The sequence below is a fragment of the Homo sapiens genome, chromosome 2 (genome assembly GCF_000001405.40).
Source record: "Homo sapiens chromosome 2, GRCh38.p14 Primary Assembly".
NCBI classification, from domain to species: domain Eukaryota; kingdom Metazoa; phylum Chordata; class Mammalia; order Primates; family Hominidae; genus Homo; species Homo sapiens.
The window spans coordinates 20617724-20639599 of record NC_000002.12 but is presented as its reverse complement, the minus strand read 5'-3'; the positions used below and the strand labels follow the sequence as shown (position 1 = coordinate 20639599).

Here is a 21876-nt window from a genome sequence, read left to right as displayed (position 1 = left end):
CATCACATAATACGATATCGTCATTATCACTCAGTGCATCCTGTATGCCAGACACTCTCTAAGTTCTTTACCTACAAGGTGATTTTATTAAAAGTCAGTTGTTTTAAACTACCCAGTAAGCACTTGGATAGAAATGAACAAATAGTCTGAGCCCACGCTTCTCAAACTATCTGTGGCAAGGGCTAGCTCTTTTATTCCCAGCCTGTCACAGATGGATACTTTCACAAATACAAAAGCACACTTGGGTATTGTGATGATGGCAGCATGCTATGAAGTTTCTGGATGCTTGCTCTCCCTTTCTCTACTTACCTCATTGTGGTCACACAGGGGGCATTCTCTGTCTGAAGACCACACTTCAAGAAGCGCTCATCTAAGCCAGTTTGTAATGGAGTGATTACCGTTTGTTCTGGAATCTTCCACATGCTTACCCTGGGCACCCATCCAGTCCACAGTCCAGGTGCCCAGACTCTCGGGGCAGGTCTCTGTCTGCAGAGTTCCTTGCCGTGCCTCCAACTGTAAATGGTTCTGGCTGTACTGGTTCTTTTTGAATCACCCTGTGCCCTGGCTGTTGTATCCCACCGCTCACCCGGGAGGAGGGTGCAGCCATCCCTGCGGCGCACACAGGCTCTGGGCCTTGGGTTCAGGAACCGCTGCCCCTGTCTTGCTCTGAAGCTCCCACTTGTGACCACTCCACTCCAGGCTTCCTTGGTGCCCGTCAGCCCTTGGGGGGCTGCAGCAGGCACTTGGCTGCCCCCGAAACGGAGGTCACCTTCCATCCACCCAGACTCGCCATCCTGCTTAGGTCCCAGGAGGGACGAGTTTGGTCCCAGGAGGCTGCAGGAAGCCCTCGGCCTCAGATCCTGGCATGGGAGGGTGCAGTGTGGCAAGATGCCTCCCCTGGCTCTGGGGTGGTTACCAAGTCCATTCTTTTCTGTCTTCCTCCACAGGTACCAGATCCCCAGGGGCTGCAGGGCTCACCAGCAGAGATTCCTCTGTCCTGGATGGCACAGACAGTCAGACAGGGAATGATGAAGAGGCTTTCGACTTTTTTGAGGAGCAAGACCAAGTGGCAGAAGAGGGTCCGCCCGTCCAGAGCCTGAAGGGCGAGGATGCTGAGGAATCCTTGGAGGAGGAGGAGGCGCTGGACCCTCTGGGCATTATGCGGTTGGTCTCCTGTTGTTGAGAGGGCCCCTTTGGTGTATTCCAGGCTTTCTGGAGATGACGTCCCCCTTCCCTGGAATCTGAGAAAAGCCCTGAGCATCCCAGGTCGCCCCCTCGCAGGGATCTGGGCCACGAGGCCTTGGCCTGGTGTGTTGGGGGAAGTAGCTCTCTGCGTGCCCTTGGTGGTGTGCATGTCTCTGGGACTGGGCTTAGGTGTCGCCTCCCTTCTCGGGTCACAGGATGTCCTCCACTTGTGGCTCCGCACTGGGGCTTGGTAGAGTCCTCCGTGACAGCTCAGTAGTGCAGGCTGCGGGCCTGTCCGGCTAGTGTGGGAGGACTGGGTGCTCCTTCCAGCTGTGGGACTCGCAGAGGTGGCTGCGGCTCTCTGGGCTGCATCATCTGCATAGCAGGAGCATTCACCTTGGCCCTGCCTCCACACAGGGCCATTCACCAGCCATACATCTCTGGCCATTTACAATCTCTTTTCTTCGGTTTTCCTCAGTGAAAATGGACTCATGGTCGTATCAACCTCTTAGGGCTCCTGTGACGATGAACTGAGTTATGTAAATTTAGCAATCAGCTACCATCATGGCCCCATCTTTCAGTGGAATCAGACCAGGCCAGGGGTGCTGTCCTCCCCGCTCTCTACCACAACGAATGTCTCTTAGCCGTTTACCAAAGCCCTCGGGCGCCAGATGAGTGTAGGTCCTGCCGCAGAAAGGAATTAGAGCCCAGTAGAAATTAGGCAGAAGCAAGTTCAACTTCATCAGCATGTAGAATTCTCTCCTAAAATCACAGCCCACTCTGGAAAGGCCTTCTTCGTGGGGAGGGTTATGGGAGGGTGGGCTGCAGGGTGGCCATGAGACCAGCGTCCAGGGGTGAGGATTTGCACTGGGAAAGGGTACGCGGCGCTCAGGGAGCTGCAGCAGAAACAGGCCTGAGATCTGGGGTCCTGCGGCACCTGGGCACAGCAAGTGCCCTGCAGTCGCTCCTCCTGGCCCTCCGTGGCTGGCCTTGTCCCTGAGTGGGGTCAGCGGCCCTGAGGGAGAGGCAGCCAGAGTAGTGGGTGATATGGGGACAAGCCTGTAATAGTCACTCCTTATCAGCCTGGCCCAACGCGGCAGGCCTTTCTTGGGCTTTATTTTGGTAAGGGTGAGGCTTTGTTTGAACTCACATTCTCTGTTGTTCTGAGTAACCACACGTAGTGCCAAACCGAGATGGACTTTGGTGGTCTGTGCCAACCTTTGGCTGAAGAACACACTTAGCCGAGCGGCTCCTTTTTTGGGTAGGAAAATGTTCTTTGTGGCTGGCAAGTGCTGCCTTGAACTTCCTACTTACTTCATTAGCAGATTGTCAGGGGAGATGTGTCAGCTATCCTGGGACCCCTTGGCGGGGCGGGGGGGGCGGGGGCAGCCCCCTCCCCAGCTCTGTACTCTGGGGCCCTCACCCCTGAATCCTGGGAAAGCTTAGCACCTAAGAGTAATCCTGCCGGCTTAAGACCCTCCCCTGCTGGGGTTTCTTTTTAAGGACCCGTGTGACAAGGTGCTGATGAATCAACGTTATCACCTCTGTCAGGAATAATAAGTAAATTTTTTGAGAGTTTATGAAATGCTGGGAACTAAGTTAGCATTTGCTTGCATGATCTCATTATATCTGTAAGACAGCATTTCTGAAACTACTTGCTACAACCCATAGTAAAAACTATATGGTACGCCATGACCCAGGACACACATGTATAAACATCCCATAAAACTGAAGCAAAAGTTCCCAGAACTCATACAAAACCTTACTAAGTGTATTGTACTGGGATATTTTCTATTCTATTTCAACGTTTGGAAAGGTCATGACTCGCCAAACTGCTTTCAGGATCCACTGTGGGCACAGGTCAAGAAACGGAGCCCTGGAGGCCTGCACTGGCATCAGCCTCTTCTGTGTGGTGGGAAACTCAAGTTCAGGGTCAGGTGGTTCGTCCACGTTCCTGCAGCCTGCAGATGGCAGAGCCAGGACCCCACGCCATCTCCAGTCCAGTCTTTATCAGCCTGGGAGGTGGGCAGGGCCCCAGGATTATCCCCCTTTCACAGATGGTAAAATCGAGGAAGGAGTTGAGCAGGATCTTGGCCAGAGCCGTGTGTGTTCCAGAGCTGTGTGTGTGGCAGAGCCGTACCTTGAAGTTGGGTTTCCACCTCGGCCTTTCACAGACACCCAGGTGGGCTTGTTGATCTCTCTTGGTGCCACCCACCTGCCCTTTGGTGGGGGACTTTCTGTTCTTCTCGGGAGGCTGTTTGTGCACCCCTCTCCCTCCCGTGCGCTTGGTTCCTGTGCAGATGCAGCGGCACCCGTTTCCCAGCTTGCCCTGCCCCATGTCTGGGCTTAGCTCTGGGCTCTCCTGGAGCGGCCACCATTTCCATGCAACCAGCCTCGGTCCTTCCCCGCCGTGGCCGCGGCGAGGCGCTGCTGCTCTGCTGAAGGGCTGCTCCACGGCAGGGCTGCTGGGAGGGTGGGAGTCGCCAGCACAAAGCCGGAGCCCAGGCCGGCCTGGCTTTTCTTTGTCTTTTAAACCTGGTTTTGATTAGGGACAAGAGAGCGTTATTACACCATTAGAGAGCAATTAAAGATAGAAAAAGCCCTCACCTCGGCCCATCCCAACACCACCGCTCTCTCCATCTGCTGGGGCTCTCTTCTGACCCCGTCCCAGCAGCATCCATGCAACCGCAGGCACAATGCACGTGCCTTTTCGTACTCTGCTTTTCCACCCTATGGTCTGTCCCGATTGCTGCTCCATGTCGCCCCTGTTTTGTATTTAAGTTTCTATTTTAGAATGTCACGGTGCTGAGAAAATTGACATTCTACCCTAATAGTTCTGCCTTATGCTGGAAATCCTCTGCGGGAAACCTTTTTCATTGTGACTCAAATAACACACAATTAGTATAGAAAAATTGCAAACACAGATAAAAGTCCTTTCCCTGTGAATTTCTGAATGCACCTTTGAATATTCACATCTTACTGCCAAAATGAGATTGTCTTGTGTGCCGTTCTGGAATTTGCTTTTTTCCAGCTTACATGTTCTAGGTCCTTCCAGATCAATAGCTGCACTCTCCCTCCTTCCTCTGCTGGTTTCTCAGCTCGATGGGCTGTAAGTGGCATTACCAGGCCCTTGCTTGTGGGCGTGGCGGGGTTTTCTGTAGGTTTTTGCTATTACAGGCAATAACCTGAGGAACTTCTACATATACAAAGCTTTTATTCTATGGAGCCTTCCCCTATATACGTGCCCCAGAGCAAGGTCCCTGAAGCTGCTTCTGGGGGCTTTGGGGTACCATTCCAGTAAAAGGTTCTCTAAGGGCTGAAGCCCCTCTGTTGGGAGGCCCCTCTGCTTTTCTAAGCCCTGCCCACCCCCGCCCTCAGGGCCCACTCCTCCCACCTCTTCTTTTGCACACAGGGACCCCCTCCAGGCCCTGGGTCCCTGAGGACTCACAGCGTCCTTGGGACAGGCTGGCTCCTGTATGAACAAATGCACCTGCCTGCAAAGCTGGTCTTCCCAGACTCCCTGGAAGGGGGAGCCCACACCCGGGTCCCCGTGCTGTGGCCTCCGTGGTGAAGCTGGATGTTTCTCTGGAATGCCACGTTTTATGGTTGTTTTTTAATATGGATTTTGCTTCATCTTTCATAAAACAACCACATGTATTTTAGTATAAAAATAATATCTTACTCTATATTTGGATGAAATCACTTCTCTGGAATGATTCTGTGGTTTTGAATGCTCCTGGCACATTGCCAGGTGCTCCCAGATTTGCTAACCCAAGATTTAGCAGCAAGACAGTCCCTTAAGGTGAGCCGTGGAGGGGAGCTCTGTGGGGACAGCAGGGCCTCAGTCCCACCTCCTGAGGTGCCCTGGAGCTGCTTCCCCGAGGGTGCCTCTTGCTAAATATCCCGACCACTGCGCATGGGCCTGGCACCTCTTTGTTCATTCCAGCCTGAGCCTGGGCACCCAGGGCTCCCCTGATGCCACCAGTGCAACAGAGACCACCTAGGGATTCTGGGCCACTGAAAGCTTGGCAGAGATAGAGATTCCAGGCCCCCCTCAGATCTGGGTAGGGCCCCCAGAATCTGTGTTTTAACAAGCTCTTGAGTTGGTTCTTCCGCAAGCTCCTGTTTGAGAATTCCCAGAAACCAAATTCTGTTAAAGTGTTGGAAATGCCAGAAAGGAAACAGGTGTGGAGAGTGGCAGGTCAGCCGTCACCACAGTCTGCCGCCCACAGGGGGCTGAGGACAGGGCGTGTCCAGAAGGCACTTCCGGTACTGTCTGCTCCCCAGCAACTCCTGCTCGGGCTGGGCTTTCCCTCGTCTGCTGACCCACCTGCTGGACGAGTTCTCTGCTGTGCCATCCTGGGGTTCATGTGGGGGCCACGAGCCAGGATGGCTGGGCCCGACCTCACCCTGCACCTGTGCAGCACTTAGCCCTGGCCTGGCTGGGGACCCAAAGCCATAAGGAAAGGAGGAGGCAGGTGCCACAGCTGCCCTGCAGCGTCACGCAGGCGGCACTCCACCCAGGCTGTCACAGTGATCACAGCAGCACAGTGTGCATGCCAACTGCATTTCCCCATCCAGATTACTGCCGTGGCCGGACGCAGCAGCTCACGCCTGTAATCCCAGCACTCTGGGCAGCTGAGGTGGGCAGGTTACTTGAGATCAGGAGTTCAAGACCAGCCTGGTCAACATGGTGAAACCCTGTCTCTACTAAAAATACAAAAATTAGCTGGGTATGATGGGGCACGCCTGTAATCCCAGCTACTCAGGAGGCTGAGGCAGGAGAATCGCTTGAACCTGGGAGGCGGAGGTTGCAGTGAGCTGAGATTGTGCCACTGCACTCCAGCCTGGGCAACTGAGACTCTATCTCAAAAACAAAACAAAACAGAAACCAAACAAACAAAAAAACAGATTACTGCACAAAGTCCTGCCTGAATGAATGGGCTGTTAGGAACAACAGATGTACCAGTGGTTTCTGCTTTTTAAATTCAGTAGCAAAACCTTTGGCTCAAGAGAAATATCATCCAGAATCCCAGTACATAAAACAGGCTGAAGTAGGATTTCCCCTGGTTGGGACAAGTGAGGACTGGATCTTTGTCCCTCCAGCCTCAGCCCCACTTCCTGGGGTAGCCCTGGGCAGCTTTGCAGAAGGCGAGGGCCCCTTAGAGTATGGTTTGACAGTGAGTGGGGCAGCTGGAAACCCCCAGGATGTGTGGCTACCCCCAGAGCAGGGTTAAAGATGGGCAGTCCCAGGTTCAAATCCCCTTTCTGCCACTCAGCTGGCGGACGCTGAGTGCGTTGCTGTACTTCTCCAAGCCTGTTTCTTTCTTTGTAGAGTAGGGGTAAAGTAGAGGCCCAGTGGCTGAAAGGATAAAATGAGATGGAGCACTACAGGAAAGTTCCTTTGTAAAATGTTATCACTATTTCAGATTCACTTTGCTCTAAAGAGGTCTTTGTGTATTTAACCAACAGTTGAAATATGAATATAAAAGGCAGCTTTTCCACTTCCTATAGTTGTTATGCAAATATCAGTCACTGTGATGTGCACACTATGACTTTACCTCCCTCCAGGAGCGCCGGTACACCTGTCACCTGTTACAGCTTCCTAGAGCAGGCGATTCTGGAGGTGGGGCAGCCCCTGGCCCTGGAGGAAGGAGCCTGCTTACCTGAATCCTTAGTGGGATTCAGTGGTTGCTTGGTTCCTTGAGAGATAGAAATCTGGGAGGTCACACTTGCCATTTTCCCGCCTCAGGCTCCCCCAGGACCCGTTGTGGCAAGTTCTGGCAAGTAACAACACTCTTAGGATGACAGAGCCTTTACGCTCTGAGGACTGCAGATCAGATCCAGGCTCTGTTGTTACGACTGAGGAACCTTCCCAGGATCACACAGGAGGGCATGAGAGCAAGAGCTGGGGGTCTCCTGACTGCTGGCCCAGGACTTTTCCCTTTTTCCCCAGGCCATGTCCAACACTTGTGCCAGGGGACTGACTTCTCAGCCCTCACCTGTTCACTCTCGGTTTTTGATGACATGGGTGATGGGCATTCCCCACTGCAAGGACAGCTAGCTGTCTGCTGGTCGTGTCACCATTTGGAGTGGATCAGGGGCATAGGAGCGCCCATGTGAGAACCAGCAATGGTTGTTTACTCAGAGCTTACTGCGACCAGGGAGGTGTCGGCCACCATCACCTGCATTTGGCAAAGATGCAAAGAGAGGCAGGGGAGTGGGACACTTTGAAGCAGATGAAAGGGAAGGCTCAGATACACGCTGATTGGAGGTTATTGGCATGGGGAATCCAGAAGCAGCCAATGAGAAGTGGGGCATCCTTTGTCCTCTGTGAGCAGGAAGTGGGGCATGTTTGGCTTTCTCTGGATGGTCCTACTAAACTGGAAATGGGGAAAAATTTAGGAAAGCTGGCAGTTATTGATCAAATCTTGGCCATTTGGGGCTGACTGCTGCAGAGGCTGTGGTCTGGCTTCCTGGGCAGGTTACTGCAGACTGTGGGTCAGAGTTCCACCTTTACATGTGGCCTGGCCATTGTCCCTTTGTGTATTCAGGCTCTTGGGGGTACTGGGCGCTTGCTGTAGAATGTAGGCTGCAGAGACCTGCAGCTGGGACCCACGTGGTTCCCTGGTGGTGCAGGAGCCAGGATGGGTGAGGGGCAGTCTCTGGCCCCATTGTGGAGAAGGAAAAATGGCATCACCCACAAGCTCAGGTGGGATTGTCACTGAGTCCTGGCCCCTCAAGATAGGGCTCAGTGGCCAGGAGAGTGGGCTCTGGCTGTTGAGAAACAGGTCCTTGGAATGTGACTCTGGGGACCATAGCAAATGATAAACGTTCATGGTGACCTCCCTGGCTGGCCCCTTTTTTTTTTTTTTTTTTTTTTTTTTTTTTTTTTTTTGAGACAGGTTCTTACTCTTTTACCTAGGCTGGAGTATAGTGGTGTGTGATCTCAGCTAACTACAGCTTCAACCTCCCAGACTTAACTGATCCTCCCACCTCAGCCTCTCAAATAGCTGGAACTACAGGCATGCACTACCATGCCTGGCTACTTTTGTCTACTTTTTGTAGAGATGAGGTTTCACTATGTTGCCCAGGGTGGTCTTGAACTCCTGGACTCAAGTGATCCTCCTGCCTCGGCTTCCCAAAGTGCTGGGATTACAGGCATGAGCCACTGTGCCTGGCCTGGCCCCATTTGCTTTTTAAGGCCCAGAGTGAAGTCTGCTGAGTAGAAAGCATAAGTGAGCCTAGACATCACCAGGCAGCTCCCAGGACCCCAGACCTCTGCCACGGCCCTGCGCTGACTTGCATCCAGGACCCACTTGGCAGCTTGCGAAGCATTTCTGTGTCATTTGCCTCCTTCTTCCCTTTGACCTCCAGTAAGGAAACATGGTTGGGGAAGTTGAGTGACTGGTCCAGATCCTATACAAGTTCTCCTACATCCCCCTCTGCTGCTCCTCTCTCAGCAAAGGCCAGAATCTCCCCAGGCCCCACTGGAGGTGGCCAACAATTCCCACAGACCCTCCCTCCATGCACCTGCTGCCCAGCTATTGGGCACTTTCACTATGCCAGGCTCTGCACACCTTGGCATTTTCATGGGCTCTTCTCTCTGCCCGGAGCACAGCTTTTGTGACTCTGCTCGTTTTTCCATCCTGGCCTTCTCTGAAGCCCCTGTCCAGTGAGGCTGGCTTGGACTCCCAGGGTTAGTGCCTGTCCTCAGGTGATTCTCACTCTTGTGATTGCTTCTCCAAGGAAGCCCATTGCTGTTGCAAATAACATTGTCCTGGTGTGAATTTCAGAAGTCCATTTATTGGTACTCTGAGAATTTTCTCATTGAAAAAATAAAACCAGCCAGGCACAGTGGCTCTTGCCTATAATCCCAGGACTTTGAGAGGTCAAGGCGGGAAGACCACTTGAGCCCAGGAGCTTGAGATCAGCCTGGGCAACATAGCGAGACTCCATCTCGACAAAAAAATTATTTTTTAATTAGCCACGTGTTATGGTGTGTGCCTGTGTCCCAATTACTAGGGTGGCTGAGGTGAGAGGATCACTTGAGCCCAGGAGGTCGAGGCTGCAGTGAGCTGTGATCATGCCACTGCACCCCAGCCTAGGTGACAGAGACCCTGTCTCAAAAAAACAAACAAAAACCCAAAAAACAAAAAGACACCAAACAGCTGAATTTAAGAATAAAGTATGAAAAGTGCATTAGTTTAAAGCACGCAGTTTGCATCATTGGCAAGGAGGTGGATTTCCGTATTTGGTTAAGCTGCACCCTGGCTTTGAAGACTCATGCTGTCCATGTGTCTCAGTTGTGGAAAGATCAGCAGTCTTCTGTTCAGACCCAGTTAAGCTGGCTGTGTCTAGGAGATGCCTCTGCCATGCATGTACACCCGGTGCTGAGCAGCTGGTGCCCATTGGTGGTCTGCTGTGTGGGTGGGCACATCTGGGAATGGTGCCACAGGCCCCCTGGGTGGCCAGAGTGGTGGATGCTCTTATGTGTCAATCACTGTCACCAGAACTGCCTGAGCCACAGGGAGCCAGGCTGCTGCTCAGCCTGTCTGAGCATTGGAGCTGTCAGCCGCGGCAGCTGCCGCCTCTCACCCCGTATGCTGCACGCCCGCCTGCAGAACATGGCCTGGTCTGCGCGTCTGTCTGCCGTCAGGAATACACAGCAGGAAAGCGGGTGTCTGTCCATGCACACATGTGCATGCAACAAGAACATGCCAGCACATGCCTGCAATCCATCCAGGAGCACCCCACCTACCTCATGCAACCTCTGTGGGCCCAACTCATGTTTTGGTGGCCCTCATGGCCTGCACTAGTTCCAATGAACCCTGTGCTCACCAGGAAGCCAGGAGCTGCAGTTCCAGTCCTATTCCCTGCAGACCTCTCTTTGAAGCCCCTTTTGCCCCATCCCTGGTGACAAGATTCTAATCATGACCAGCTGTCCTTCCAATGAAGGGAGAAGAGGGCACCCTTCCTCCATGTCAGTGAGGGGCTTTGTCTCCTGTCAGTGCAGAGGGCGGGCTGGAGGGCGGGCACTGCAGAGCCAGGCCCTGCGCCTGCAGACAGCTGGGTGGATGCTGATATAGGAATGGAGGAGGAGGAGGACCAGGGAGGAGAGGATTGAGGGGGCCCCCGAGTGATAGCCCATGTGTGCGACCTGACCCGACTCCATGTTCATGACAACCCTGAGGTGTTTGTGCTAGGAGAAGGGTGAAGAAATGGCTCAGAGACTGAGTGACGCACCTGTCATGGAATTACTGACCCCCTCACTGAGATCAGAAACCTGTCATCACCTTAGACAATTCCCTTCTGTCAGCCGATCACCTTAACTGTCCAGATGTATAAGCACGTTTGCCTTCTGAAGTTCCCCCTAGCCTGTCTTCCCCTCGCACCACCGCTGCTCTCCTAGTCCAGGCTCTGGTCATTTCTTCTATGGACCATGAGCAAAGCTTCCCTGGAAAGAACTGACTCTCAGCCTGTTCCCTCATGGCACTACGTCTGCTGCAAACCTAAGGGGTCCCCTTTCACCAAGAGGAATCTGGGTTCCCAGTTATGTCCTAGTCACGCCCGCTGCAGACCCTCACAGTGTGACTCTCAGGTCCTGTACCCAAGATGCTATTTAACTCCATTCCACCAAGTTCACTTCCTGTCTCCACATCACCTCCTCCAAGAAGTCCTCCCTGAGCCCTCAGGCTTGGTTGGCTCTGTCCTCTGTGCTCTGCCGTGACAGAGCGGAACACCCTGTGTGCTAATGAACAGTTTCCTTTTTTTTTTTTTGAGACAAAGTCTCACTTTGTCACCCAGGCTGGAGTGCAGTGGTGTGATGTGAGCTCACTGCAACCTACATCCCTGGGGTTCAAGCGATTCTTATGCCTCAGCCTCCCGAGTAGCTGGGATTACAGGCATGCACCACCATGCTACGCTAATTTTTGTATTTTTAGTAGAGATGGGATTTCATCATCTTTGCCAGGCTGGTCTCAAACTCCTGGCCTCCCGTAAACTTTTTGCTTTAAACTAAAGCACTTTTCATATTTTATTCTTAAATTCACCCACCTCAGCCTCCGAAAGTGCTGGGATTACAGGCATAAGCCACCTCACTCGGCCATAATGATCAGTTTCTATGTGACCCTGCTCTGCCATGAGCTTCTGGGGACAGCGGCGGCTCGTCCTCATCTTTGTTCCCTCGTCCCCAGCACAGGTTCTTGCAGGTGGGAGGTTCTCAGTGAGTGCTCGCCATCAAAGGTGCCCACGAGGGAAGGAATGAGTTGCTCATAGAGTGGCTGAGGGCCTGGTGGCAAGCCCAGTGGAGTCGGCCAGGAGATCTTCGGAGGAGGGGCTTTCGCACATAGGGCGCTGTCTGAGACTGGGGTTGGGAGCCTATCCCTCTTCCCTCCCTGCCCCTCCCGCCTTGGGGATTAACAGAATCCTGAGATGGAGATGTGCTGGCACCCTGCTCCCTGCCTACCTGTCCTCCACCTGTCCATCCCTCCTCCCCTCCATCCATCGCGCATCCTCTCATCCAGAGTTTATCAAGGCATCTGTTATGGACCAGGCACATTACTAAGCCCCCAGAGGCTGAAAGTTTTGGGCCGCTCAGGATAGGACCCTGGGGCTTTTAGGCACCAAAACTCCATATTTCCTGCTTCTTCCTTGATTCCCCTGAAGATGGGTCTAGAGAGTTGGGGAGGTAGAGAAGGCAGCCCAGGCAGCATGGGTGGGTGGGGGTAGGGTACAGACCATGCCTGCTGGAGCCGCCCGCGTGTGCTGTAGATCCACTTTATTTCAGTTCAGGACAACAAAAGGGCAAACATGTCTCTAGGGAGAAAAACAAGGACATGATCCAGTTGGAGGAGAAAACTCACATGGAAGGAAAGTTAGGCCTCTTGTGTGCTGTCCAGACCAGGTGCAGGCGTAGGAAGGGGCACCACGGCTTCTCCAGAGAGACCTCCTCGCGCCTGTTCTCTCTCGCTTCCCTTGTTCCTCAGATGGCTCGCTTCCCTCTCTGCGCCCTCTGATTTCTGGTCAATGCAAAGCCTCTTGCTCCCCTGCCCCGAGGGGCCCGTGGCTGGTTACATGCAAGTTCAATCCCCAGGAGCCAGGGAGGGCCTGCTTGTTTCTGAGCAGACAGTGTGGGGTGTGGCATGGAGCTGCTGCTGGGGGAGGCTGCAGAGCAGCCTCAGACCTGCCCTCCCTGAGAGCTGCCACCTGGGTAGGGGCCGGGGTGGCTCTCCACCCTTCCCCACCGCAGTGCCTGCTGGGGCCAGGAGCAAGGGCCACGCAAAGGGCGGCAGAGATGGGGAATGAAGGGGAGAGAAGCATCGGGCAGAACAGTGGCTGCGAGCCTGGCTGACCGTGGAATTCCACAGGAGACTGAACACAGCCTCCTGGGCCTGCTTGGGGTTTCCGACTCAGTGGGTCTTGGCTGGGGTCAGCTTTGCTGTCTGCCCCAGGAGGCCATGGCCCTTGTTTGGTACCCACTTCCTAGGAGTCATGAGAGCCGAGCTGGCTCTGCCTGATTGGTAAGAATAAAGGGGAGAATGTCTGAGTAAGAGCAGGCGAGCCCTGGCTCCTCCAGGTCTCAGAGGAGCAGAAGCTGAAGATTTCTGGAAAGCACTTGCCCTTAGGGTGGAGAATCGAGGCTCCCTCCACCTCACCTCCAGCACCACAAGCAGGGCCTGAGGGTGGTGCACAGCAGAGGAGGTCCCTCATGGCCTGAGCTGGGTGGAGAAAGCACAGGACCAGGCAGATGGGCCTTCTTGGAGCAGTCCCTGCCACTGCGTCTCTGCTCCCCATCACTACCCTTGAAACATGCCACTTTCTCCCCAGAGAACAGCAGGATCAATCCTGTTATCCCTGCGCCATCCTATATCACCTTCCTCATGGGACATTTGGAGGGGACAAGAGGATAGGACCATGAGTATGACCATCCTCAATCTAGACCCAGCCTGCCTGTCCCTTCCCTGCTGTGTGGCCTTGGGCAGACACTCAGCTTCTCTGGACCACTGTTTCCTCATCCAACAAACGAGCCCTGCAGAGATCCTTCCCCTGGGACTGGGCTCTGAGCTCAGAGGATGCTCTGTCCTGCAGCCTTCCAGCAGGGAACCTTCCAGCAGGGAGCCTTCCTGGCTTTCATAGTTTCTCCTCGCCTCGGCTGGGTGCCTGGGATTCTGCCAGACCTCAGACTCCAGACTGTGGGAATGGTCACCTTGCGGGGACCTGCCCCTCCAGCACCCAGGGCCATTCTGCTATTTTTATCTGCCATTGGTTAATCTGTATCATTGTGTAGGCCAGCCTCTCGGTGCAGTTTTGCCGCAGCGTGTTACCAACATGAGCTCAGATGGTGACCTCACATAGTGACCTCAGTCCAGTGGAACTGCCCGCCAGGCGGACAGGCACACGGAATTTCAGTTTCCAGTAAAGAGCATATTCTCATTATTTTCAGGAACCTTAAAATGGCTAATAGACATCATCAGCAGGGATTGAATGCCTGTTAAAGTAATTATTAAAGTAAAATCAAGTGTGTTTACTTACTGGCGGTATCACTTACAGTGACGTACACAGATCCTGAGCATTCAGCTCCATGCGTGTTTACTTATCCAGCCCGTAACTACCGCCTGGATCAAAACTAAAGTACTCCTACACCCCAGAAGCTTCCATCCTGCCCCGTCCTGGTTTCTTACAGCAGGGTCTGGCCCAGAGCAGGACCTCCTCAGCCAGTCGGCAAGTGCACTGTAATGGGACCTGGGGTGGCAGAGTCGGAGCCGGGGAGGTGGGCAAGTCCCAGAGAGGCTTCCTGAAAGAGGGGGGCTGCTCCACAGAACCCAAGTGTTAACTAGAACAATGGTGGTTTTACCATGCAAAGGAAACAATAAGGCACTTACCAAAGCTGCTTTCTGCCCTCCTGAGTCCTAGCCCTGAGGTTTGTGGCTCAAGACCAGGTCCATCCCCATTTCTGAGTGGCTGTGGAGTGTGGTTCTCTGAGCCTGGCCCCCAAGTGCTGAGACCCTGAGACCAGGCAGCTGTCTCTACCTTCCGAATGGGAGTGTGATCTCTGGCCTGTGACCGCATGGCAGACTCAAGGCCTGAAGGCGTCTAAGAGCTGGGGTTGTCTGGCAGCTGGTGCCCGGTCCTGGCAGCCGCCTGCTCCTCCTGACAGTGGTCATTTCTTGAACACAGGGCACAGCTGCCCACAGTAGCGGGGGCCTTACCACTCTGTCATTGGGGAAACCTGCTTCTCAACCACCTTCGCTGGCCTGCTTTTCTCCCCTGGGATGGAGGACCTGTCCTTCCCTTGGCCGTGTGACCATCTGTTAGAGATTTCAGAAAGACTTCAGCTCCACCTGCCTGGACTGCTCTGGGTGGCCCCCTCCAGGACTTCCCTGGTCCCTCTGGCCTGGTCTTTTCTGGCCCATGGCATCCAGCCCCTCCACTGCAGGGCCCAGCGCCTGTGTCGGTCTGACCGGACCACCTGGACACTTGTGGGAAATCCTCACCTTGTGCTTTGTCTGTGATTCTCCAGCTCCAAGAAGCCCAAGAAACATCCCAAAGTGGCCGTGAAAGCCAAGCCCTCGCCCCGGCTCACCATCTTTGACGAGGAGGTGGACCCTGATGAGGGGCTCTTTGGCCCGGGCAGGAAGCTGTCTCCACAGGACCCCTCGGAGGACGTGTCATCCGTGGACCGTAAGTAGAGCCCCATGGTCTGCTCCTGGTGTCCTCTCGGTGCCCAGCCCCATCACCAGGCAGGGTCTGGACTCACCCGGCGTGAATAGGACCCATATATCTCCCCTGTCCTGTTTAGATGTGATATAGACTCAGCTTTGTGCTTCCATGACATCTGTGGGCAGATGTGGGCCCTGGGCTTCCAGGCACTGTTTGTGTGGTAAGCGATAGGGCCTGCCTAGGGCACATGTGTGACTGTAGGTTTGGATTTAATGGGACTCTGTGTCGCCTGCATGGACTCTGCTGGAGGGCTCTGTGCAGAGTTGGCAGAGGGAAAACCGAGCGGCCTTGGGACATCTCCACTCATCCCTTGGTCCCTTTCCTCACATGCCCAGGTCGTCCTCCGGTGAGGGGAATTGATGCCACCCACTAATTCAGCCCATACTTGGTGAGCCCTCACTGAGGGCCAGGCCCAAGAACATGCTGAGGAGTGAGACCTAGTCCCTGTCCCTAGTCCCTATCCCGAGGGCCCCGGGGGCCCCTGGGGAGACAGGTCATTGCCTGACAGTTACAAAGCAGCACCAGTTATGACAGGTTGAGCAGAGGCATCAATTCCTGTAGGACTGCCCAGAAGACTTCCTGGGGTGGGGCAGAGAGAGAGCAGCCATGGCATCCCAGCCTAGAGGCTTCCTCTGACCCCCCTGCTGCTGCCTTCCCACAGCCCTGAAGCTATTTGATGATCCTGACCTCGGCGGGGCCATCCCCCTGGGTGACTCCCTCCTGCTGCCAGCCGCCTGTGAGAGTGGAGGGCCCACACCCAGCCTCAGCCACAGGGACGCCTCCAAGGAACTGTTCAGGTACCACCTGTCCCCAGCGGCGCTTGGCCAGCTCTGAGAGTGTTCTGGACAGAGCCAAGGGCCCGGCTCATTGCCCAGTCTCAGCCCCAGCCTCCTCTGAGGGGAGGACCCCAGGCCTGTGAAAAGTAGAAGCCTGTGGGTGCACATTGGGTGAGAGGCGGTGAAGGGGGCTGAGGGGGAGGATCCGCAGCCCAGGGCTGCTCAGCTAGTTCCAGAAAGAGAGAACTTTGTGTGCACAACCAGTCTTTCTTTTCACAATCATATTTTAACAGTTTATGTAAAGAATAATTAAATTATATAATTGCAAGAGCAGGTATAACTGGCATAAGCAAGTTTGGGAACAAATTAAACGGACTCATGGCAGCATGCAGCCCACCCAGCGAGGGGGCAAAGTGCAGATGTCTTGGTGATGGCCTCTCTGCCGGAGGGCCCGGTCGGCAGCTTTCACAGAAGGAAGGGAGAATGAGGCCTCAGCTGTCACATGGAGGTCAATTGGCAGAACCTGTGCCGGTGACAGCTCCTATTTCCTGAGTCCTTGCTGTGTACGCAGTAAGCCAGACTCCTTACACGCTCTCTTATGTAATCTTCACGACAGCCCCCTAAGGTGGATGCTATTTTCTCCATATTATAAGAAATCAAGTGTGGGACGCCACCTGGCTAAGACCCCTGCTCTGCCCCTGGCCTGGCCTCTCCACTTCATCAGGGACTGTCTGAGCACTTGGCTGGGTGATCTGCCTCCCCACCCAGCCCCCCAGTTCTCCCCAGGCCTTTACCTCCACTGGCCACATTCTCAGCAGACTCAGTGTTGTGCGTGTCTCCAGCTCCCACTCCATGCTCCAGGACACAGGACTGTGCCTGGGATTCAGAGGAAGCCAGGCCGCCTCTTTCCAGGAACGGCTTATGTGACACCAAGGCATGCAGGCCCTGGAGGCTGTCATCTGTACCCCTCATTAGCAGCCTCGGGCTATTAGACAGCCCTGCAAGTGCCCGCCAAGCCTGAGTCACCGTGACGGCTTCTGGTATTTACATGTCCCCAAGGCCCCTGGCATCTGTTCACTCTCATCCTGTGTCCTCGCTCCTGACATCCCAGCGGGCTGGAAGAAACCAGGATTGTTATTTTATTAGAGGGAAACCGAGGCACAGGGAAATGAAATACTAGAGTCTGCCTGCGGAGCAGCAGGGCCAGGCCGAGCATGTCTAGGAGTCCATGTGTCCCAGTGGGGTGGCTCTCGTGGGACCTTTCTGGCCTAGTTTATTCTAAATCCGTTACTTCCCAACCTGTGTTCTGCAGAACGTGGTACAGTGGGGTGGTCAAAGGCTATCTTCAAAGGGGCTCTGTGGCTGATGAATTGGGGAAATGCCACAAAAAGCAGGGCTCGTAGTGCGCGGGCCAGCACCACATGGCACTTCACGTTCTCATTCATCCCTGGGCCCCCCACTCTGTGGTGCCCCTTAGCATCCCGCAGAGCGCTTGGGGAGTCCCTGCTCAAAAAGTGTGGGTCCCGCACCCCCACCTTCACTTTAGCAGACATCTGCTAATGAAAGGATTAACTGCTTTTCTTTTTTTTAAATTCAGACAAATTCAAAAAGAGCCGTAACACTGGGATTAGCTTCTTGAGAGCAGGAACCACATTCATTCTTTGTGTCTGCCCTGTGACTATCCAGGGAGTAGTTGGACTTCCTCATAATAAAGAATGTTCTGATAGCCATTCATTCATTCATGCTTTCACCCCTTCGTTCATTCTGTCACTAGCCTCAGCCACCCTGAGGCCGCGTGGGGTGTACACTGAGCGGGTCGAGGCTAAGAAGGCTTTGTTCCTTCTGGCTGTGCAGCCACACCAGGGCAGGGCCTCTAGTCTAGATGTTTAGGTGAGTCTTGTCTTCCGCAGGAACCCAGGGAGAAGGAATGGGGCCAGGGTCTTAGAGCTCCCTTACCCCCCACTGGTTGACCTCACACCAGCTGGGCCTGGAGGAGAAAAGAGCTGGACCTTGCGCTAGTGAGAGCTAGTCCTAGTCATGACTCAGAAATAGGGTGCTTGGAAAAGGGGTGCCTTGCAGCCTCCTGTGTCCCAAGAGCAGCTATGCTGCCTCCCACCGTGGCTGACCACCCGTGTACACCACCCACCTGGGAGCAAATCCAGCTGCTGATTAGTTCCAAAGAGTCACTGCTTTGCCAAGCAGGCTAATCCTGAAATCTGACATAAGCCTCTAGCGGCTGCTTTATTTTCCAAAGGGCCCCTATTTGAGGATAATTCAGTCCCTTTGAGCTTTTCCCAGGTACCCTCAGCCTTCAATGGAGGCTGCATCATGCCAGTGGAGCTGGCACCTGCCCTGGGGGAGTCAAGGAAGGGCTGCCACTTGGAGGGAGCTCCGGAACATCTGACCTGAGGTGGCCAGGAGCAGACTGGCCATGAGTGACACCTCCTGAAATCACCTCTACCCCAAGACAGCTGGTCTGTCTATGAAGGCCCGGCTTGGGCCAGTCCCTCTGGGTTTGTTCAAGAAGGACACCTTTTATTCATTTCTCTGCCATCCAAACAGACTCTGAATTCTCTCTCTGGGGTTTGTGCCCCATCACAGGAGGTTGAGCCAGGAAGCAGGCAGGGTGTCCGGAGCTCCTTCCACAGCTGGCTCCAGGCAGGCATCCACCCCTGGGGGTGCTGTGCTGGACACCTCCATACTCACACAGGCTCTCTGGTAGTGCCAGGAGTTGTCCTGATCAGAGGTATCGCCTCTCTATCCCCACCCCTGCCCGGCCCTGCCCCAGGGCAAGAAGCCGCTGCTCATGAGCCTGCCTGGTTCTTCCTGTTCATTCTCATTCCCACCTCCAGACCTCTGCTGTCTGCTCCCTTCTTCAGAATTCTCTCCCCTATTCATGCCAGGCTCACCCTTCTGAAAAGACCCACCTTCCCAGGAGGCCTTCCCAGCCTGCTCTGGCCCAAGGGCTCACTCCCTTCTCTGGACTTCAACACCTTCTTTCCAGGCCTTTGCAATTATGTGGCCCCTGTCTGACTGGGCTGGGGGGTGTCCCTCATTGTAGGTGGAGGCACTGCTTTTCTGTGTCTTATGCCCACTTGCTCAGCCCCTGTGGCTGTCAGTAGACATCAGTACATACAGCCTTCCTGTACATTTGGAAACTACTTTCCTTGTGTTGTCTTATTTGATCCTTGTAAGAATCCCTGTGAGGATGGTAGAGCAAGTACAATCCCACTTTATAGAAGAGACTGAGGACCAGGGAGGAGGAGTGGCCTGAGGCTGCCTGATGGAGGAGTTGCAGGGTGAGGAACGGAAGCCAGTTCTCCTCCTGCAGTGCTGTGCTTCTGTGTACAGTTCCGTGCAGCAGTGCCAGTGACACTGTTACTCCTGCTTGTAGATGAGGAAGCCGAAGCTTGTAGAGACCAAGTGGGTGCTACAGGTCTTCTGCCTTCACTCACCTGATTCCAGCATGGCTGAGCGATAGACGTAGAGATGCCCGTTAGCACAAGGGAAAACCTCGCCGTGACACTGGAGTCTAGGTGCCCCAGCCAGGGGAACACACCCCAGAGAACCAGCCACATGCAGGCCAAGTCCTGTTCATCCTCACACTAGCTGTGGGTCTCAGGGCAAGGCCCTTTGCCTCTCTGCACCTCAGTATTCTCAGCTGTAAAACGGGGCTAATCTCTGCGACCACACAGTGTTTGGAGATTATTGAATGGGTTAATGAATGTGGAAATGTCTGGCCATCACGGGTGTTCAGCACAGAGCTGAGTGGGTGGAATGGATTGAATGAGTCTTCCACTGTGCATCTGGTCTCCAGAAATCAAGTTCTGGAGAATCAGTGGCCTGGCCTGTTTCTTGCCCTCAGTACCCAGGGATGGTCCTGAGTGACCGTAACACTGCCAGGGCTTTTTGCCCACCCACCAGTGGGAGATTAGAGGTCTGGGGTCATGACAGAGTCTTGGTGGGCCCTGGCCGAGGCCATCCTCAGCTCTCACTGGGTTCCGTCTGGCACCCGTGTGGCCCACAGCGGGGCACTGTGGGCGGGCCAAGCCTGTACCACCATGGCTCAGCGCCCCTGGTTATTCTTTCTCTGGCTGAACTTGCTTTGGATGAGGGCTCAGCTTCTAAGGGCCGATGTCCTGTTCCTTCCAACAAAGGCACTGTCACATACCATCCCCTCGAGGTCACTCGGCCTCCTGGGACTCCAGCGTCCTCATCTGCGTGATGGAAGCACAGTCATGCCTCCCCAGAGTGGCGTTTTGAGGATAAGATATGATAACGTGTCTGAAGTGCTGTACAGAGCGGGAACTCTGTACATAGTAGCTGGTGGTTATTTCTGAAGGGATTGGAGGGAAAGCCCCCTACAGAAGGCAGCGTGTGTCAAGTGGGGTCACCTGAAGAGCAACTCTCAGGAGGCTGCGTGGGGCCTGCCCTGTGCCTGCTTTGCTGTGGGTGGGAGGGAAGGAGAGCCCTGGCCTTCGTGTCTCCTCTGGGCAGGATGGGTGGAGGGGCCAGAGTGGAATGGGGCAGAGCAGGGCGGGGCCTTGACCTGGCCGAGGCTGGGCTCCCTGCCGCTGCCCAGCCCCGTGTGGGCACTGGCATTGCCTGGGGTCTTGTTCCTGTCACGGGGTGGCAGTGTTATGCTCAGGGTTCCTCCCTGTGGTTCCCTAGAGTTGAAGAGGACTTGGACCAGATTCTGAACCTGGGAGCTGAGCCCAAACCCAAGCCCCAGCTTAAGCCCAAGCCACCAGTGGCAGCTAAGCCGGTGATACCCAGAAAACCAGCTGTTCCCCCCAAAGCGGGCCCGGCTGAAGCTGTGGCTGGGCAGCAGAAGCCGCAGGAGCAGATCCAAGCCATGGACGAGATGGACATCTTGCAGTACATCCAGGACCACGATACACCAGCCCAGGCCGCCCCCAGCCTCTTCTGACCCTTCCATGCTGGCCCCTGGCCCAGCAGGCCTGTCTGTGGGGACATCGGTGTGAAGGGAAGGGACTGGGCCCTGCAGGGTCAGAACCTCCCCACCCCCAGGGGAGGCCAGGCAGAAGCCTGGGTCACAGCACCCAGAACTGCATGGTTCCATTTTCTCCGGGGCTGTGGGGCCAAAGTAGAAGCCTGCGGGCTGCGGGAGCGGCTCTCACCCTAGGAGCCAGAGCCCAATGTGTCTTATTCCCCGTGGACATGAAGGGGAGGGAGGGTGTGGGGATGCCTTGCCAACCAGAAGCCCAGCCCCAAGGATGAAGCAAGACATGTGGGGCCGTAGCGAGGTGTCACATGGGGCAGGGAAGCTTCATGCCCACGGGTTCTGCCAGCCCCAGCACAGACCCAAACTGGGGCTGGGCCTCTATCCCTCCTCTGCCTCTGTTCGCATAGTAAGAAGGAGTGACCGGTATCCTCCCCTTCCCCTACCCTAAGCTGTAGCCTGGGTGACTGACTGGCCTGGGCCTGGGGTGGGGACGTCCCCAAGCCAAATTACTCCAGGGCCTCTGCTCCTCGTGGCTGCCAGGGGCCTGCAGGGTCTGGGTGGGTCTCCCAGGAGAGGAATACTGAGTGGGAGATCGGCTGTCTGGAGTGTTCTGATGCAAGTCTCTCTCTCCTGAGCCTCCTCTTGATGCAAGCTCTAAAGGGAGAAGTCAGGCCCTGCCTCTCCAGGGTATAGACGGCCCTGCTAGGCCCCAGTTCTTCCTCCTTCCCCCTTTCCCAGGAAAGGCCAGCCCAGTCCATGGCCTTCTTGGGCCTCTGGGCACAGAGCCAATGTTCGTCATTGCAGCTCTCAGCAAACTGGGTCATAGCTTTCCCCACAGCTCAGCCTGGGGCCTGGGCAGGGCTCCCAGCCTGCACCGCCTCCCACTGCCAGTGGGGCATGATTCTCTCAGGCTTCTGCCCCGAGGCCTTCGTCGTCCTCAGGGTCTGGACTTGGTCAGTGGCCTTTCACCAGTGGAGCTGCCTTCCCAGGGAGAAGGAGCCGTGCGCCAGGGCAGGGCCCGTGCCTTAGACTTCTCCCGACCCCCAGAGCGCTGGTACACAGGTCTAGGCACCACACAGTGCTTTGGAAATTCTCAGTGAATGATGTTTAATAAAGCAAAAAATGTCAAGGTGTCTTTCTTGGATATAATTCTTCATGTTCAGAGCTAGTTTTTTGTTTTGTTTTGTTTTGTTTTTTAATGAAACAGTAGTTTTAAAGGAAATGCAA

General features: G+C 54.8%; 1 protein-coding gene and 1 long non-coding RNA gene across 6 annotated transcripts in view, besides 2 other annotated features; both read left to right on the top strand.

The window, feature by feature from the left end:
* The window catches only part of HS1BP3 (HCLS1 binding protein 3), a 97238-nt gene that overhangs the window by 11499 nt on the left and 63863 nt on the right, over nucleotides 1-21876 (top strand). For 3 of the 5 annotated variants that reach the window (XM_017004698.2, XM_017004696.3, XM_017004697.3), the window contains exons 4-6: nucleotides 948-1164; nucleotides 14708-14868; nucleotides 15569-15704. In XM_017004698.2, coding sequence (XP_016860187.1) covers nucleotides 948-1164; nucleotides 14708-14868; nucleotides 15569-15704 — 514 coding nt within the window. Of the gene's footprint in view, nucleotides 1-947; nucleotides 1165-14707; nucleotides 14869-15568; nucleotides 15705-17280; nucleotides 17414-20354; nucleotides 21783-21876 lie in introns of those variants that run through there. The other 2 variants (NM_022460.4, XM_017004701.2) reach the window with 2 other exon arrangements.
* LOC124907740 (uncharacterized) lies at nucleotides 1171-4884 on the top strand. The gene is made up of 2 exons (XR_007086243.1): nucleotides 1171-3367; nucleotides 4598-4884. It is a non-coding gene; the product is annotated as an uncharacterized LOC124907740 (long non-coding RNA).
* Nucleotides 3807-3856: an enhancer, noted in NCBI's record as "active region_15397". NCBI's record gives its function as "activates an Ori minimal core promoter by ATAC-STARR-seq in GM12878 lymphoblastoid cells {active_cell/tissue: GM12878}" and the evidence as "EXISTENCE:reporter gene assay evidence [ECO:0000049][PMID:35858748]".
* Nucleotides 21392-21501: an enhancer, noted in NCBI's record as "active region_15396". NCBI's record gives its function as "activates an Ori minimal core promoter by ATAC-STARR-seq in GM12878 lymphoblastoid cells {active_cell/tissue: GM12878}" and the evidence as "EXISTENCE:reporter gene assay evidence [ECO:0000049][PMID:35858748]".